This window comes from Homo sapiens, chromosome 11 (assembly GCF_000001405.40).
Source record: "Homo sapiens chromosome 11, GRCh38.p14 Primary Assembly".
NCBI classification, from domain to species: Eukaryota; Metazoa; Chordata; class Mammalia; order Primates; family Hominidae; genus Homo; species Homo sapiens.
The window spans coordinates 100537425-100556123 of NC_000011.10; the positions used below are offsets into that span (position 1 = coordinate 100537425).

General features: G+C 38.5%; 1 annotated feature.

Moving 5' to 3' along the window:
- Positions 13458-14235: an enhancer, noted in NCBI's record as "OCT4-NANOG hESC enhancer chr11:100421613-100422390 (GRCh37/hg19 assembly coordinates)". NCBI's record gives its function as "activates a minimal SCP1, AML or CMV promoter by ChIP-STARR-seq in naive and primed H9 embryonic stem cells {active_cell/tissue: H9 hESC(naive and primed)}" and the evidence as "EXISTENCE:reporter gene assay evidence [ECO:0000049][PMID:30033119]".

Here is an 18699-nt window from a genome sequence, read left to right on the forward strand (position 1 = left end):
ATATAAAAAATAACAATCCTACAATGATTCCCATACTTTTTCTAACTCACAGTTCCGTGAAATCTAAATTCCAGAAACAGTTGTTCATTATGGAACATAATAAAGGTCATACATATGTCTTATTCATTGAATAAACAAATAAATTAATAAAATTAAAGTAAAACTGACATAAAAGTTGAGAAATCAAGTAAACTCTACAGGGTCTCTTTTCCTTCAAATTAACATTCATGACTAAGAGATAAGGCTCTGGGTTCCAGTCTATTCCAGAAAGTGTGGGTTGACATTTTCCCATCTCGTTCCTTAGATACTTCTGAGGGTGAAAAATGTTTTATCAGACACCCAGATTTACGAGTAAACTCTAGCCCTTCATTGTTACTTATCCCGGCATCTCAGTTTTTCTTTTAGGTTCATTTAACACTTCCTATAGTGTGTGAGAGAACTGTCATATCAGATTGTCAATAGTAAATTCACTACCAACCTGGTAATCACTTTCATTACCCACAAAAACTGCTATTGAAATCCTTCAAGAAATGATTGATATGCTGCATCCTGTGTTGACATATCACACTAATGATGGAGAGAAAGAGTGAAGAAAAAGTTTTAATGATGCATTCATTCTAGAAGATGACAATATGGCTGCAGGGCAGTGGGAAGTGATTATTGGCAATGCCTCCTTTACTTCAGATTGAGGGCACACAAGCAGGACAGGACTTCTCCAAAACAAGTTCACCTGTTGCCAGACACCCAGACAATTTCTGAGGTGATGAACATAGTGACCTGATCTAAAAGTACAATTACAGGAAGCCCAAATCCCAAGGCAACATAGTGAATGTCCAAAGGGACAGGCTAACTGCACCCATCTGATAACAACAGCATCCATGATAAATAATAATGTTTATTGAGCACTCATGTGCTAGGCCCTGTGGTAAGTGCTTTACAGGCATGTCGCTTAATCCCATTGTATATTGTCTATCTCTCATATGGCAGTGTAAGGTCCAAGAGGGAAAAGACCTAGCCTACCTCGCTCAGCAGTGTATCCTAGGTTCCTACAAAAGCACCTGGATATAGGAGGTGCTCAATAAATATTTGTGGATGAATGAACTAATCAATCAATGATCACCTCCTACTTGAGCTTGATACACAAGGCCTTCAGATGAAACTCCAGAATTCTGCAGAGAAATTTTTTAAACTAGCCAGATGCAGTGGCTCACACCTATAATCCCAGCACTTTGGCCGAAGTGAGAGGATCATTTGAGGCCAGGAGTTTGAGACCAACCTGCACAACATAGCGAGGCCTCATCTCTACAAAAATAAAAATAAATAGAAAACCACCAACTGAGCTGAAAACACTAGTAGGGTATAAATTAAATTTTTTAAAAGTCTGTAAAAATGTTAAGAGTATTCCATCAGCTATAAGATATAAATCAATAGTACATTTACACTTAAAACTAATTGGAAAATGTTTTATTGTTGTTTATCATATGCTCATTTATGGGTATAAGGAGGGTTTTCACACAAAGGTAATGAAGAATCCAATGAGAAACCAGGGTCACCTGACAAGAATAGACTGCAGAACTGCCCTTTGGCATGCGAACTTTCCTGCTGTTGGTTGAAGAAGCAGCCCACATGCTTCCAGTCCTTTCAGATAAGATGCTCAATACCTGTGGGAGCCAATCAGCCTGGCTGTCTTCTAGGCCTCCCCTATAATGAGTTCCACCAAAGCCACAAGCTTACAGACATTCTGGAAGTAGGCAGATGCCTTCACCAATGTCTTTAGGAGTATCACAGACAAAATAAAACTTTCAGAAATTATTTTGTTGATAAAGAACTTACATTTGAAGGAAAAGTAGAGAAAGAGATGACAGAAGCAAAACAAAAGAATTTACCCCATATTTTGAAGAGTTTGTGCAAAATTGGTATTATCATTTACAGAAAGTCACACTATGAGAGGGCAATAATGACACTAAAGAACGTGTAATAGGATCCCCAAAGCCCTTCTTGTGGTGTATATAACTGTGACCCTACAACTTCAGCAATCCTAGGAGCCCTCATCACTGCTGAATAGAGAAAATGCCGCCTGCTTCCCTGTGTCTTCCTGATGGAACATGACCACCCCAGAGCAGAGAGCATCACTCAGAAGAAAGACCTATGGAAAATGCAAATATTATTTTTATCATGAATTATTCACTTATAAAGGTTCCAGTCAGAGACTGATACAAAAACAAAAAAAAAGTACCATTATTTCCAAAGTCTCTGAAGAGGCTAAAATACAAAACATTTTACATAGGTCTGGTGGATTATTTAGAGAAACATAAAAACATTTGTCAGATGAGAAAAACTTTCTTGTAATACTCTTGGTCTTTTCTAAAGAATCTTCCTAATATCCTTATTTTCTTCTCATTTTTCTTAATTTCTGCCTAATTTTGGCTTTAGTCTTTTCTCCATTTATTCTTACACTTCTTGCAACTCTCTTTTCCCCAAAACCCAAAAGGAAGCATATGGGGAATATAATTTTTTTAAACCTCAAAAACACACATAGTAAATTAAAAGCCTAGTTTACAAATACAGATGGGGAGGAAATATAACTTTTTCCTTTTTTATAAAGTGATCCAACTCATATTTCTATCTCCCATTCCCCTTTCACAGAGCTAGTGGTCAACTTAACCTTATTCATTTTCAGGGTTTCCCTTTCAATGTCATCTCAAGGTTCCCAAAGCCTTACGTATTGTCAAAATGGAGTGACGGACACTCTCTGGTGATTGGGACATCAATGTATCTGAGTTTCCCCTAGAATATTTGCATTCCTGTCCATGTGATCTCATTAGATCCTGTAGATCTCTGTTACTTCTGGACCACACTTGGATATAGACATCCTGTCTCAAAACTGCTCTTAGTCCCATCTGCCAGAAGGCATTCTGTAATCATTTCTCTCTCTGGTCATGCAGAGAACCCAAAAGTGGATGCTCCTTCTCAGTCAAGCTAACATATGACTGCAGCCCTGGATGACATCTTGACTACAATTTCATGAAGGACCTAGAGCCAGAACACTCAGCTAAGTGCTGTCTTAGCTCTTCCTTTCAGTTGAAGGGGAATCTCTTTTTAATCCAGGGGGAAAATCTTCAATTTTTTTTAATATCCAGCCATTTTTCACATGCATTTGACTGCTTTTTACCAGCTCTGCAGACTTTACCAAATTCTCCTAACCCTTAGTCCTTTGAAAAAAAAAAAAATGACCAAAAAGTATATTGGCTCCTTCTACTCACTCTTTACCCCATGCCTCCCTGAGGCAACTAAGATACAAGGAAACCTGCTTCACAGGAAACAAGGGAAAGGAAAATCCATACAGGGATAAAAACATATCACATATTGACCCAATCTGACTTAATATAGGTACATGTAACTGAGTTCTGTTGATTCTTATCGTCTCCGTTCTCTTCACTCCTCTTCATTCCACTGCCACTGTATTAGTTCAGGACTATCATTTCTTACTACAAAAACCACTGAGCCCAGCCTCCTTCCCCACTACTATCAGAGTGGGTTTCCTAACAACAACAAAAAATCAAATGATACCATGTCACTGGACTGGCTGAAATGGTTTGGAACATCTTGGCTGCTTTCAGGAATTAATTCAAACTCCCTAGCATGGCACATGAGACTCTGGGAATTGGACCTTGCCTTCTCCAGCCTCATCTCTTACTATTCCTCAGCATATACTCTACCCCAAAGCCATAACCAGACAAGAATATGATGCAGTATTCCAAGTCTTCCTGCCTTAATTTATGCCGTTCCCTCTATCTGGAACTCCTTTCCTTCCAATCTTCTTATATTGAACTGACTTGCTCTTTTAGACTTTCCTCTGGGATCACTTTTCCAAGAAATTCTTCTTTACTTCCTCTCATCTGTGATTGGGAATCTCTTTTCTGAGTATCTATAGCACTCCACACAACCCTCACTGTTAAAATTATTGGTTTGCTAATCTCTCTTCCCCAAAAGTCTGTCAGCACCTTGATATCAGGAATTCTCTTTCATCTCTGCATCCTCAGGACCTAGTACAGTAATCTACAAATCGCAAATGTTCAGCAAACAATTCTTGAGTTAATGCATAATCATATAATTTATGCTACCTAAGATGAAGTCAATTTCTATATTCCATACCTAGCACATGGGATATTTGTGTCAAGCAAATTCAAATCAAGGTAATAAGTTTTGCTGATCAATTCTAAACTCACTGACTAGGTTAACATTTTGATTTTTTTCCCCTGAGAACACTACTCTCGTATCAGCCTAAATATCTGGAGGCTGTGATTTATCTTTGATGTCAGTAACAAGGTTCTATATTTTGGCATTCATAGAAAAACAAAACAGTAAATGAAGCACATATTGGCATAACTCATATGTTACACTATACCTTACTACAATCTTATACCCTTGGGTAAGCTGATTGAAAATTAAATGGGAATAGACATTTAAATTACACCAAAGGGATGTCAATGGATTGCAGACTTACTTTTGTATCAATCTATTCTTGATTGCACAGTATTTTGTTAGTGGTCACTATATAACACTTTTCAACAGGCCATTGCATACTGTGTATTTTACTAGATGCAATACTCTGTGTTTACGCAATTACAGAATAACCAATATTTGGCTACTTATTTCAGGTAGCATATTAAGCTTAAACAAAGAAATTTAAATTAAGATCTTGACATTATCTAAATGAATACAGTGTTTAATTTTGTAAAAATTAATTTGACCTATTTTTATACTTTCTTATTCTTTTGTTCATTTAGGCCCTTAAATTCATTATCATTGGATTAGCTGTCAGATACTCCTAATTAAAGTAATCTCTAAGTATAGTACAGGTAGAATTTTTCAACTCATGGTATAATAAAAAGGATATGGCTTGTATCGTACACATCACAGTCCCCTTTTAAGTGTACACAGCAAATATTCAGCATTGGGGGTCAGAAAGCATCTGCCATTAGACAGAAGATGACACCTGTGTATAATTATCTAGCACGATTAATGAAGAAGGAGATCAAAGTTTCATGCAATTTTAATTTTCTGCTCTAGACTTGATGTGCAAAGGATTTGTACTGGGTAATAAAGGAATACAGGTTCATTCTAATAAGCATGACAAATGAATTTTTTAAATGAGCCTGACTCATTAGCTAGGCGTATATAAACCTGTGTGACCCTTAGTGCTCTAGCAGAATTTGGGGATAATTTTAATGCCTAATTACCGGTTGTGTGATGATATTTCAACAAATTAGTTCCTGTATGAAATGCAAACACACTTAGAAGTATTCATGCTGAGGTATGACAAAAACCAAAATGCTTATAAGGAAGGGATCTTGACCGCAAAAGCTAAATCATATTAACAGCAATTTTCCACAAGTCTACATTTTTAACATCTACTGTGGAACCTCTGAAGACATTTTGACAAGAATGACATTTTGGCAGAATTAACAAACCAGGAAAAGAATGTGTGCTCTACCCCGACATTAGTGTTATGGAAACAAAAACACACACAACACTGGATGCTGTGTTCAACTACAACGTGCATTTCCTAGATGTTGCTGATTCAACTTGATCTCAACATCCATATTATAACAAGCTAGTCTGGTGCCTCCAGAGTGCAGTGTGAACGTTCAGTGCCTTAAATTAAGATAAAGTACTTTTTTTCTTTTAAATAAGAGCTAAAGCTTAACATAGCATGAACGGAACAAAAAAGAAAAACAAATAAAACATTTAGTTTTAAATAATAGAATATGGAGTTTGGAGTAAATAGAACACATCTTCTGGAATTTTTTATGAGACTGGCTACTTGAAACTTTTTAAAAATAAGTTTCTTATTTCTTCTCAGGAAGCTCATTTTTTTTTAAAGTTTTGAAGTAAACTCATAATGGAACCAGGGATTCAGTGATCAATAAGATTTTCAACATCCTCCATATCACACTTGACTAAAGGCATTGTTTTTTGGTTTTATTTTCCAGCAAACATGAGTTGGGCACTTATACTGTGCTAAGTGCTAAAGGGATACAGAATGAACACCAGATCTCATCTTCAGGAAGTTCAAAAACTGGTCAGGGAAGTAGAAGTGCAAGCAAGTATAATGCAAAGAAGTCATGCATGAGTGCTATAGGGAAGGAACCAGCTAAGTGCTGTGGGAATCCAGGAGCACAAAGGAATTAGCAATTAAATTTCCAAGGTTGGCAGAAAGAAGGCTTTTGGAAGAATGTGCATTCATTTGCTCATTCATTAAACATTTATTGAGCATAAATAATGAGCCAGGCCTATATTAGGCACTGACTATATACAGAGATGTATAAAATATAGCTCTTGCCCTTCAAGATCTCACAGTCGTTCCTTGCATTCTCTCAGTGAATATTTTGCTTGGCCTTAGAGAATATAATGACCAATCAGAAGTACAGACTTCATGGAGTTTATAATCTGGAAGGCTCCATTGACAGGTAAAAGGACAGTCATGATACTGTGAGATAATCAACCAACATTTATATGTTTAAATAAATTAACCCACTTAATTCTCATAATGACCAGCTGAGAAAGGCACTATTTAAAGCTCCATTTTAGAAAGCGGAAAACAGTTACAGAAAGAGTATGTACCCGATCCAAAATTAAATATCCAAGAAAATGCAAAGCTAAAATTTGAACCCAGGAAATCTGGTGCCAGGACCTGTGCTCTAGCCAAAATGATATCACCAATCCAAGTTCTGTGATGGGGTCTGTGGTGCTCAGACATGAGAACTAATCTAGAAGTGGAAGGGGTGCCAAATTAATTTAAGCACATAAATGCTGGCTAGCTATTATTATTATCTCACAGTATCATGATTATCCTTTTACCTGAAAGAATGACATCCACGTTGACACTTGTTAATGACACAGAGAAAAATACTTTTTGAAAGGTAGGTATGGGGGGCTCATGCAGGATCCCTGCTGCATTTGAGCCAATATGACAAAAGGATGAGTAGAATCTGGACTTACGTAAAGAGAGAATGACATTGCAAGCTGAGGGGCACCCTAGGAAAGGCAGAGAAGCTGGTTTGACAATTTTCTCCTTGTTGGTAAAGCTCTTATACTCGCTATCCAAATGGAAAATAACTGAAATTGATTGATGTGGAAACTCCTGAGAGGGCAGATCTTTCTAAAGGAAATTGAAAGATATGTCAATAGCATTTGACTTTTAAACACCTCAATTTGCTCATCAAGATTTCAGAATCACTCAGAGCCCAAAGACCATTGTTTGTAACATTTTTTAACTGCAGAAGGGTCTAGCCACAAAAAGTTTCCTTAAAAAAATTGTTTTTCAGATGTAGACATAAAAAATAGTATCTAATATTTATTAAGCATTTATTCTATATTTGGCTTGGTGCTATACACTTGACATGAATTATTTTATGTAATATTTCACTTATAAAATAATTCATGTCAAGTATATAGCACTAAGCCAAATATGGAATAAATTTTATATACATTTTCAAATTTTTTATGAATAAGGAAAATGAAACAGAAAGTTTCCGTCATTTGCCCAAAGCCACAGAATGAAAGAGCTGGAAAGGAGACTAAGTCAGATATCAAGCCCATGCTCTTAACTATTATGCTATATGTAGCTGAGAGTCACAGAAAGCTTGTAACCAAATATTTATATTGCCCTGATGAATAGAAACTGCCTTATTTATTCTTTTTTTGAAATATAGTTTAGTGTAGAAGGAAGAGAAGGAGGAGACCTTGATTTGAGCCCCATCTCTATAACTTTCCACTCTTGGGCAAGCATTTCTCCTCTTTAAGCCTCTGCATCTTACCTTTAAATTGAAAGGATTTGACTACATGGTGTTTGAAGTACCTTCTGGCTATAAAGATCTGTATTTTTTTAAAAAAAAAGGCACGCATACCATTAATTATTCCTACATTTAAAAAAAAAGAGAATTTTAAATACGGATGGGATAAGTTGAAAATTTAAAGAATTCAAATTTAGTAAGATTTTTAGGAAATGTTGGCTAAAATCATCTGAGGAATCAACACGACATTTTCAATATGCTGAATTATTTGCTGCACCTATGTGAGGCTGAACATCCACCATATTTTTCACTCATAACTCTGAGGGCTAGTGACACAGTTCATTTCCTCATTTCAAAAAGATTGATTTCAGCCCTGAGAAAAGATACGCATGAGCTGGAAAAAATGAATGTTTATGGGAACCAGGAGCATCCGTTCTCATTCTATTAAAGCCTCAGCTTATGTTCCACTTAGGTCTTGCTTACTAAATTCAGGGTTGCTCAGTTTTTCATCTAAGATACCATGTGTTCATGAAAAGGAGCAAGCTGTTTCTTTTAATCTAAGAGCCAAATGTAAAGATTCCTCAAGTGTCAGTTTTAATTTTAGTGTGCATGATCTTAAATCTCATGGACTGTGTCCACTTAGAGTGTGCCTCTAAGAGCTCTTAGCCATTCAAGTCTACAGTCATAGGAATAACCACATAACAGAAGTGACTCCCTCTGAAGAGTGACTCTTTGGCTCAGAGATTACTCTAGGGGCCACTTCCCACTGTCCTCTGCAAACCCGCTTTCAGTATTCTGCAATGCCACTAATCAGCCTTCTGTGTTTCATTTGTATGCATGTCTCATTGAGCCCAAATTCCCTTTCAGTGGGCTCAAATGAAATGAAATCAGATCAAGCCCTTTCCTGAGATGCAGCTTCTGTTTACAGCTGCTTTTGTACCTTGAACTGCAAACAAGAACCATCACCTGCTCAACTCATGGCCCATATCAACCTTCAAGAAGGAAGTAGAAAAAAGGCAGATGAAAAACTGATTATCTTAAGAAAAAGAAATGTCTGCCAAGATATGTGGAACAAAATATATTAATCTTACATTTATGGATCACTTTCCCAGACATGATCTTTTTTTTATTTTTTTAATTTTCAGAATTAGGCGAGTCCTCTTAGCCTAATTTTAAAATGAGAAAGCTGATAACTAAGAGGTACGATAAGGTCTCATTGTTTTGTGGAGACCATTTAATTCCTGTGGCTGCAGACCAAGATCTCACGCACAGCTTTGAGCAAGCACAACCAATGGGATTTAAGATCTTCTACCCAAAAATTCATACCAAAATTTGATACAATTTGTTTATTGGATTAAAGTCCACTTGATTTTAATTATTTAACAAATATTTCTTGGCTACCTACTTTTCCTTTTTTCAAGGAGCACATATACCAAGTCTCTCTTTCTGTCTACTACACTATGCTTGGAAATTAATAAAAGCTCAGTGGTGAATAATAATTGCCCCTCCCTAGCCCCAAAGTTGACCTGCTACAAATTGGTATTAACACCATTGATAGAGACACTTTGAGGATATCTACCAGAACACAATCCTAATAACCCTTCAAATATGATGACTACAATGCAAAGCATGCTCCCTGGCATTTTGCCAAATACAACCTGCAGAACCATAAAAGGAAAGCCTTGGCTCAGGAAAGGTTTCACAACTCTGAGGAAAGAATCTTGAAAGGAGGCTAACATGGTTTGGATCTATGTCCCCACCAAGTCTCCTGTTGAATTGTAATCCCAGTGTTATAGGTGGGGCCTGGTGAGAGGTGATTGGATCATGTGGGCGGAGTTCTTGTGAATGGGTTAGCACGATCCCCTGGGTGCTGTTGTTGTGAGAGTAAGATATCATAAGATCCGGTTGTTTAAAAGTGTGTAGCACCTCTCTGCTCTCTCACCTTCTGTGAAGGTGGCTCTGGCCATGTGAAGATGCCTGCTCCTGCCTTGCCTTCCACCATGAGTAAAACTCCCTGAGGCCTCCCCAGAAGCAGATGCTGCCATGCTTCCTATATAGCCCGCAGAACCATGAGCCAATTAAGCCTCTTTTCTTTATAAATTACCCAGTCTCAGGTATTACTTTATAGCAGTATGAGGCTAACTTTTGCATAGACAGAGGGAAAGAAGGAAAATTGGGAGGAATAGGCACGATCTAGGTGAGGCTGGTGCACAAATGGATTTCAATAGAGCAGCCAGTAATATTAATAGTGATAATAACATAGTTATTTATTGAGCACTTACTGTGTTCCAGGATCTAAACTTTGTGTGTCTTCATTTATTTGATCCTCACAGCAGCCCAATGAGAAAAGTGTCAATGATTTTTTTTAATTTAGGAATGAGGAAACTAAGGCACACAGAGCGTTCAAATAAGTAGGACTATAAAGAAAGTATCACTCGCTCCAAAAGTTTTATATTGTGTACACACAATTAGAAATAAAGAAAGAACTACTTAGCCACATCTACTCTATCTATTATTTGTAGAAAACGGATAATGGAAATAATAGAACTCATTTATAATTTTTTCATATTATACCTTTACCAACATTCATCATATTAAGAGCTGAAAATACCTATTTTAACAAGCTTATATGAGCAGACTACAGATTAATTTTCTGTTATTATAATTTTAGATGGCATTTCAAAACAATCATTTTTCACCAAAAATTATTTTCTTTATACATCTTATGAATTCACCCAAAAATTGTGAAAATTGATTTTTTAATCTCAGTATTTAGTGTTATAAATCACAGATTGCCTCAATCTAAACTTCTTATAATAGCCCTACAGTAAAAATTGGATAATTCCACTAACATAGACTACTCAGCACAGAGTTAAGTTTTACTTTTTTAGTGAACTAAGAAAGATTTTGGTAAATTTTAAACTATTTTTAAAACTTAACCTTTTTTTTTTTTTTTTTTTTTTTTTTTTGAGATGGAGTCTTGTACTGTTGCCCAGGCTGGAGTGCAGTGGCGTGATTTCAGCTCACTGCAAGCTCTGCCTCCCGGGTTCACGCCGTTCTCCTGCCTCAGCCTCCCGAGTAGCTGGGACTACAGGTGCCCACCACCATGCCCGGCTAATTTTTTGTATTTTTAGTAGAGACAGGGTTTCACCATGTTAGCCAGGATGGTCTTGATCTCCTGACCTCGTGATCCGCCCACCTTGGCCTCCCAAAGTGCTGGGATTACAGGTGTGAGCCACCATGCCCTGCCAAAACTTAACTTTATTAACCTATTTTTGAAACTTAAATGGCAAAGCAAGGCAATTCTTGAAGTATTTCTGCCCTGAACAGAGGAGTGCACCCTTGAAGTCACTGTATTGGTACCAATTATTTTGTAAGATTGCAGTGTTGATTCCTGCAGGCACCATGTTTACCTGATTAGAAGGATTTATTTTTCCTCATATTTTTTAAGTTATTATCCATTTCATTGCTTTGTGGTTCAAGAAAATGTGTTCTGCATGTGCCTGAGTCAGTTTGGACTGCTTTAACAAAAACACCACAGACTGGGGGGCTTGAAAAACAGAAATTTATTTCTTACAGTTCTGGAAGCTGTGAAGTCCAAGATTAAGGTGCCAGCAAAATCAGTATCTGATGAAGGCCCCCTTCCTTGTTTACAGACAGCCATCTTCTGGCTGTATCCCCACACGGAGGGAAAAGGGGAAAAGCTCTAGTCTCCTCCTTTTAGAAGAACACTAATTAACTTCCAAAGGCCTCTCACCTACTAATATCATCCCATTGGAAGTTAGGGCTTTTACATATGAATCTAGGGGCACAAACAGGCAGTTGGAGGGGCACAAACAGGCAGTTCATAACAATCTACTACCACTATTTCTTTCTTAATATCCTGTGAAGAATGTTCCATTAAAAAAATAGGACAGGAGTGGTGACTCACACCTGTAATCCCAGCACTTTGGGAGGCCAAGGCGGGCAGATCGCTTGAGCTCAGGAGTTGAAGACAAGACTGGGCAACATAGCAAACCCCATCTCTACAGAAAAATACAAGAATTAGCCAGGTGTAGTGGTGGCCCTCAAGTGATCCCAGCTACTTGGGATGCTGAGGTGGGAGAATCACTTGAGCCCAGGAAGCAGAGGTTGCAATGAGCTGAGATCACGCCACTGCACTCCAATCTGGGCGACAGAGTGAGACCTTGTCTCAAAAAAAAAAAGAAAAAGAAAAAGAAAGAAAGAAAAACTACTGGAAATTCTGTTTCAAGCAAATCTGGGAAGAGAGTGGCCAGAAGTTTTTTCTCTAAACTTTACCAGTATAGTAGGGTTCTTTTTTGCACACACTGGTTATAGTAAAGTTCTTTGCAAATGCTGGTTCCCATGAAAAACAACTTGATACCAACTAGATTCTTGTTGGAAACATTATTCTCATAACAGTTAGCCAGGAAAGATAAAAATCAATAGAAGAAAGCTGAGTAGACGAATGAGTTATAGCCTATATAATGGCAATTGCCAGAGTATAGTGAGAGGGGTTGGAAAATATCACCTTGCTATATAAAAAGAGACCCTGCATAGGATCTTATGGGATGTAGTTGAATTATGGTTGCACTGTTTGCCCTTAATGGAAATATCTTCATTTGACTAAGTCAGCCATCAGGTTTAATCATACAGGATATTGAAGTATATTAGATATTAATGATTAAATAAGATCAGCAAACTATAGTCAGCCATCTTATTAACGATTGTATTTAATAATGTGTAGAAGATAATGAGAAAAGCAAACAACAAAGGGATCAGAATGGTAAACAACTTAAGTCAACACAATTCCTAATACACACACTCTATCAATGCATTTTTAGTGGGCTACTGTGTACTTCATTTAATTGAATCAGTAGAGACACATGGACCACAGATTGTTATAACCCATCTTATTGCTTGTTTCTGACTTTTCAGTGGGAGATAATTCATTATTGAAAGGTAAGCAGTTTGTTTTCCTGAACTCCCATTTCAATGCAAAGCATGGATGTAATTTGTTCTGAGTTACATTTCTCTAAAATTAAAAGGCATAAATCATATTTCTACATTCCACAACCAATCTGCCAAACACATCCAACTAGGAAAGACTGAAGGGTAAATGGCATGTTTTAGAATGACTGGAATCAACAGGAATCTATGAAAATTCTTATCATAAAATAAATAAAATTCTCAAATTAGCTAGCTGCTCTTTATGATCATACCTATTTTAAGTGCTTTTAAAGTGCTCTCTTATTGATTTATATATCACCAAGAAGTGGCTAATAAAACTAAAAGACTAGTCTGAACATTTCAGCGCCAAGAAATACAAACCTATGTATCTCATAAGGTGTGAGCCTTTTAAAAGGTTGACACTTTCATTCTCCACCCTGCCCTGAGATTGTCTGATCAAGACAAAAAAGGGGAAGAGAGGGAACAGTGTAAAACACTAGCGGAAATAAATGGTGGGCATTACTGTGTCTCTGCACGAATTATGCTCTTAGTGATAACTCATAATTTGAATAGTACTTTTTAAAGTGAAATGTGCTTTCACTTTTATTACTCTGTTTTTGCCTCACAAGTAAGTAAAGCAGGTACATTATTCTTTCCATTACAGAGGTAAAGAAACAATTTTGGGGAGTTTCAATGATGCCTGCTCTAGTAGGAAGTCAGACCTTGAACTGCAGTTGTCTTGAGTCCAGTATCTTTTCTACCACACTCTGCCACTTTTCCCATATCCTATAGCCCCTTTTAGAACAAATTGCCATTTTGGTAAATGGTAGAAGCTTGGTAACAACTTGAACTACACTTGGCACTCTGATAAATGGCCCAGGCACTTAATCGGGATGCTTGCCAAGGAACAGAGTTAGTGCAGTGCATTTCCAATGGCTCTAAACAGCAGATGAATTGCACATCAATTTATTTAAATAGCAAGAAGGCGAGTTTATTCATGGCCATTACCAGGTGCGGATTGATGCCTGCTAGCATAGATTTCCCACTGTGAAGCCCTTTAGTCACTCCATGAGGCTTCCCCACTCCATTATGCCTGCTAAATGAATCAATCTTACCTTAATATCATTCTTAAATATTTAATGCCAAGTTACAATGCTGCCTTTTAAAATCGGTTGGTAAAATAAAAGCAAAAATTGTTCAGCAGGATACACCCCACCTTACCAGCCTCCACTCTTCTGTATGATTACTTACTAGGGTGAGCTGTTTGCCCCCGAGGGTGGGCCAATTAAAAGGATTTATTTGCTTGTGTAACAATCTAGGCTGCAGCAAAAGGAACTGCAGTTTCAAAAAAGAGTAAGCAAGGCTTACTTTGCTGGTTGATTCCCTATTTGTTGTAATGCAGAGCTTGACCCAGAAAATTACTTCCAATACTTTATCAATGTGAGCTCCTTTAGAGGAACTGTACTGGTCACCATGTGGGAGAAAGCGAGCCATCCCTTTCTGAAAATAACTTTCAGTCTTGCTTCAGGGCAATGCTCGATATGCAAATAGTTAAATCACTGAATTTTTCGATAGCCAGTGCACTTAAGCCAAATAATTCAGATCAACTCTGTTGTTTTTAAAAATTGATATGTGATTCCACACCCAGATATGACTACTGTTTTATCTTTTTTTATGCTTTATATCTGGCATTTGAATGTATGTTTTACAAAGCCTTTCACCTCTGTGTGTTCATTTGTTGAGACAGAGCAGTTCTAGCTCACAACCTTGCCTGTTTCTTTCCAGTCCTCTCTTTCTGATTAGTCTCACTTCACTATTGTTTCTTTTGCTTATGTATCAAGGTTAGTGTAGAAGAAGGAGGCCTCAATGTCAATAAAATACGAGGTTCTTCCCAGCTTTATGGTTTTGCTAAAGATCTCAGTTATGGAAATGTGATGTATCTTTTCTCAAACTTTTTTCCCAAGCTTCATATTAATCAACTAATTAATTGATTCCAAGACAATCAAGCACCTTTTGGTTAAGAAAAAAAATTAAAACTCAATTCAACCTTTTAAGAAAAATTTTATATATATATATACACACACACACAGTATTGAAGTAAAATTATCCAAAAAGTAAAATTTATACCCTCAACAGTAAGCAGTAAATTGGATATCATTAAAATCTGCATATATTAAGACCCAAAAATGCTAAATATTGGGGATGTTATGGGAGAAGAAGTGTTATAAAATATTTGGCTAAGAGTGTTTCACTGAAAATCAGGAAATCTGGCTTCTAGTCCTGGCCCTGCTGCTAAATATCTGCCTGACTCCAGGTAATTTGCTAAGCCAGCTAATTGTACAGGTACCACCTACCTGTAAAGTAAGGGGTTAAGCTAGGACCTTGCTGCTTCAAGTGTGGTCAGCCTGGATCCTGTTAGAAATGCAGAAATGCGACCTCAACCCGACCCACTGTATCAGACTTTGTGTGGTAACAAGATCCACAGGTGATTTGAGAAATGACAAAATCTGATTCTAATGAGCCTGTGTGGACTTAGATTGAAGGCCACCTGCTGCGTGGGAGGGGCTTGTCTGGGGCTGTTCAGATTCAGGAAACTTCTCAAGGAAATACTGCTTCATAACAGTTTCTCAATCCAATTGTGCTGCCTTCAATTTGGAGACATGAAGATGGCATCAAAGCTGTTGTCTGCACAGTCTCTGACTTGAAGACAGCGATTCCCCTTCGCAGGGTCAGTCCAGGCAGAGCTCTGGGCACCCAGCACAGGAAGTTCCCTTCTGCTCTCTTGCTACCTGTTCAGCCCCCCGGGAAGAATGAGCTTCCCCTGACACACAGAGAAGTTCACACGAAATCATTTGTAAAGTACAAGAGTTCAAGATGTCATGTCAAATACCTTTCAATAAATTAAGATGGCAAAACTCAGGGGAAAGAGGAGAAAGGGAGTTTAAAACCTCACACACAGGAAGAGATTGCAGATTTATTATCCAGAGGTATTGAAGGACTTCAGGACATACCACCCCAGGATATGTTGTTTTGGCACATACGTGATCTGAGAGAACAAAATAGATGCGCCTTTATCAACTAAGATGGTCCCTAAGGTTAAACAAAGTTACTTAACAGATCAAAGGCAAAGGGCCCAGGTGGCCTGGCAAATTTTTGAATTCCTAGGGCTACAAGAAAAACCACGCTCTTAATACAACCCAGACCACTACAGCTCTGATTGGACAGAGGACTGGCCTTCTAAACTTTTTTTTTTTTTTTCTTTTTTTTGAGGCTGAGTATCACTAGGTTGCCCAGGCTGGAGTGCAATGGCACGATCTCAGCTCACTGCAACCTCTGCTTCCCAGGTTCAAGCAATTCTCTGCCGCAGCCTCCCAAGTAGCTGGGATTACAGGTGCCTGCCAGCGCACCCGACTAATTTTTGTACTTTTAGTAGAGATGGTGTTTCACCATGTTGGCCAGGCTGGTCTTGAACTCCTGATCTCGTGATCCACCTGCCTCAGCCTCCCAAAGTGTTGGATTACAGGGGTAAGCCACCGTGCCCGGCCTAAATATTCTCTTACTGCAGACCGTAAGCCAGTTTCAGCCAGCTTGTAGAGGCTGTGCACAAACTGTCTTTGTTTCCTGTAGTTCACCTTTTAACATAAAGAGCCAAATTTCACCCCAATTTAATGCTAAAACCCTGCAAAAAAATGAACACGGGATGTATGTTACATGTATGTGTATCCTTGTGCACACACTCAGCTCCCCTCATAAATATGTATAGCTTTTCCCCAAAACCTGCTGAATATGTATGATTCTGCTGTGTAATGCGGAACCTGTGAGGCATAAAATCCAACCGGCTCTTCCCCTCTTTGGAGACGGAGCACCTTTAGCACACACCTGAGACTGTCTCTTGTCAGCTTGCGAATTGAAATTACCAATAAAGTTCAGCTTCCTACTATTTCACCATCCAGGTGGTCTCTTGAATGACAGGTATATTATTTTGAGCTGAAGGCATTTGCAAAACAGCAAATGCAGAGAGAGGCTTTCTCTGAATTCCCCTTATTTGCCCAAGGTCAGATACTTCAAAAGGAACACAATTGTAGTCAATCTCCTCCCCAGGAGTTTCATCAACCAGGTAAAATTGACCCTTATGGCAGGGCGCGGTGGCTCACACCTGTAATCCCAGCACTTTGGGAGGCCAAGGCGGGCGGATCACCAGGTCAGGAGATCGAGACCTTCCTGGCTAACACGGTGAAACGCCATCTCTACTAAAAATACAAAAAAAAATTAGCCGGGCATGGTGGTGGGTGCCTGTGGTCCCAGCTACTCCAGATGCTGAAGCAGGAGAATGGCGTGAACCCGGGAGGTGGAGCTTGCAGTGAGCCGACATGGTGCCACTGCACTCCAGCCTGGGCGACAGAGCAAGACTCCGTCTCAAAAAAAAAAAAAAAAATTGACCCTTATCATAGTAGAGGAGACTAAATTTGGCACTACACCCAGACAAACCTTGTCATAAACTATCGTATCTCCCATGTACTTTTCTCAGGGCTCATTCATCTTTCCTAAAAATCATTTACTGGCCGGGCACGGTGGCTCACTCCTGTAATCCCAGCACTTTCGGAGGCTGAGGCCGGCGGATCATGAGATCAGGGGATCCAGACCATCCTAGCTAACACGGTGAAAGCCCATCTCCACTAAAAATACAAACAATTAGCTGGGCGTGGTGGCGGGCACCTGTAGTCCCAGCTACTCGGGAGACTGAGACAGGAGAATGACGTGAACCCAGGTGGCAGAGCTTGCAGTGAGCCAAGATCACGCCACTGCACTCCAGCCTGGGCGACAGAGCAGGACTCAGTCTCAAAAAAAAAAAAAAAAAAAAAAAAAATCATTTACTCTCCCCCAAGTGGTCTACACTCCTTCCCCTTCTTCTGTTAAGACAAAATATAAGCCAATGGGGTTCAGAACATACTAGTCACAACTTATGATAACTTTGCATTTGAGAAAACAGCAGAAGGAAGGTCACTCTCACCTTCCCCTCACCCCTTCCCCCTGAAGCAGATCATAAGACCCTCATTCCAGAGATGCCCTCCGTATACCCAGAGGAAAGAAATAGCCTCATCTCTGAAGACACAGGGACATACAGAAGAATCTGAACAAACAGGACTTACTAAGCTCCCTCTCATTTATCACTATTAGGTTGTGTCCCCTTTGTCCAACAGTACTTCTCCACAACCATCCACATCTTCATCAGATTTAGCATGAAAATACACAGGTTTCCCTGTTTCTTTGGATCTTCATTTCTGAAGGCTCGCTTGTTCTGTAAAACTTACATTAAATAAATGTGTATGCTTTTCTCTTATTAATCTTTCTTTTGTTATAGGTGTCTCTGCCATGAACCTTGCAATAAGTGAGAGAAGGTACTACTTTTTCTCTCCTGCAGCTCTCATGTCTCCTCATATTTTTTGATACTCGCTTTTTTTCTATGACGCCCCATGTATGTAATATTAAAAATTAATAAAATTGCATACTTTATCCCCTGTTAATCTGCCTGTTGTTCATTTATTTTATAGACCCAGCTGTTGAACTATGAGGACATAAGAAAAGTCTTTCCCCCTCTGGAGTTCAAATAAGGAAACATTAACAGGGAGAATGCAAGCAAACCTAAAATTCAGAATATAATTACTTTGATTGACATAATGGGAAGGTCAACATGACTTCCCAGAAAATGACATGCAGGAAAACAGGCAATTTGTAAAAGAGTGATGATTTTGAAAGTGGAATTTGTTTCTTAGAATTATTTTTATGCATTCTTTCCCAACAGCCCCAAGTTTAAGAATTCATCCAAAAAGTATGTGTTAAAATACCCTACTAGGATGATTTCAACTTGTTTTTGCTCCCTTTTTAGGCAGATTTTGTTCCACTTGCTTATTCAGGCATTGTGTGAGCAATTTCTTCTGTTGTTCTGATA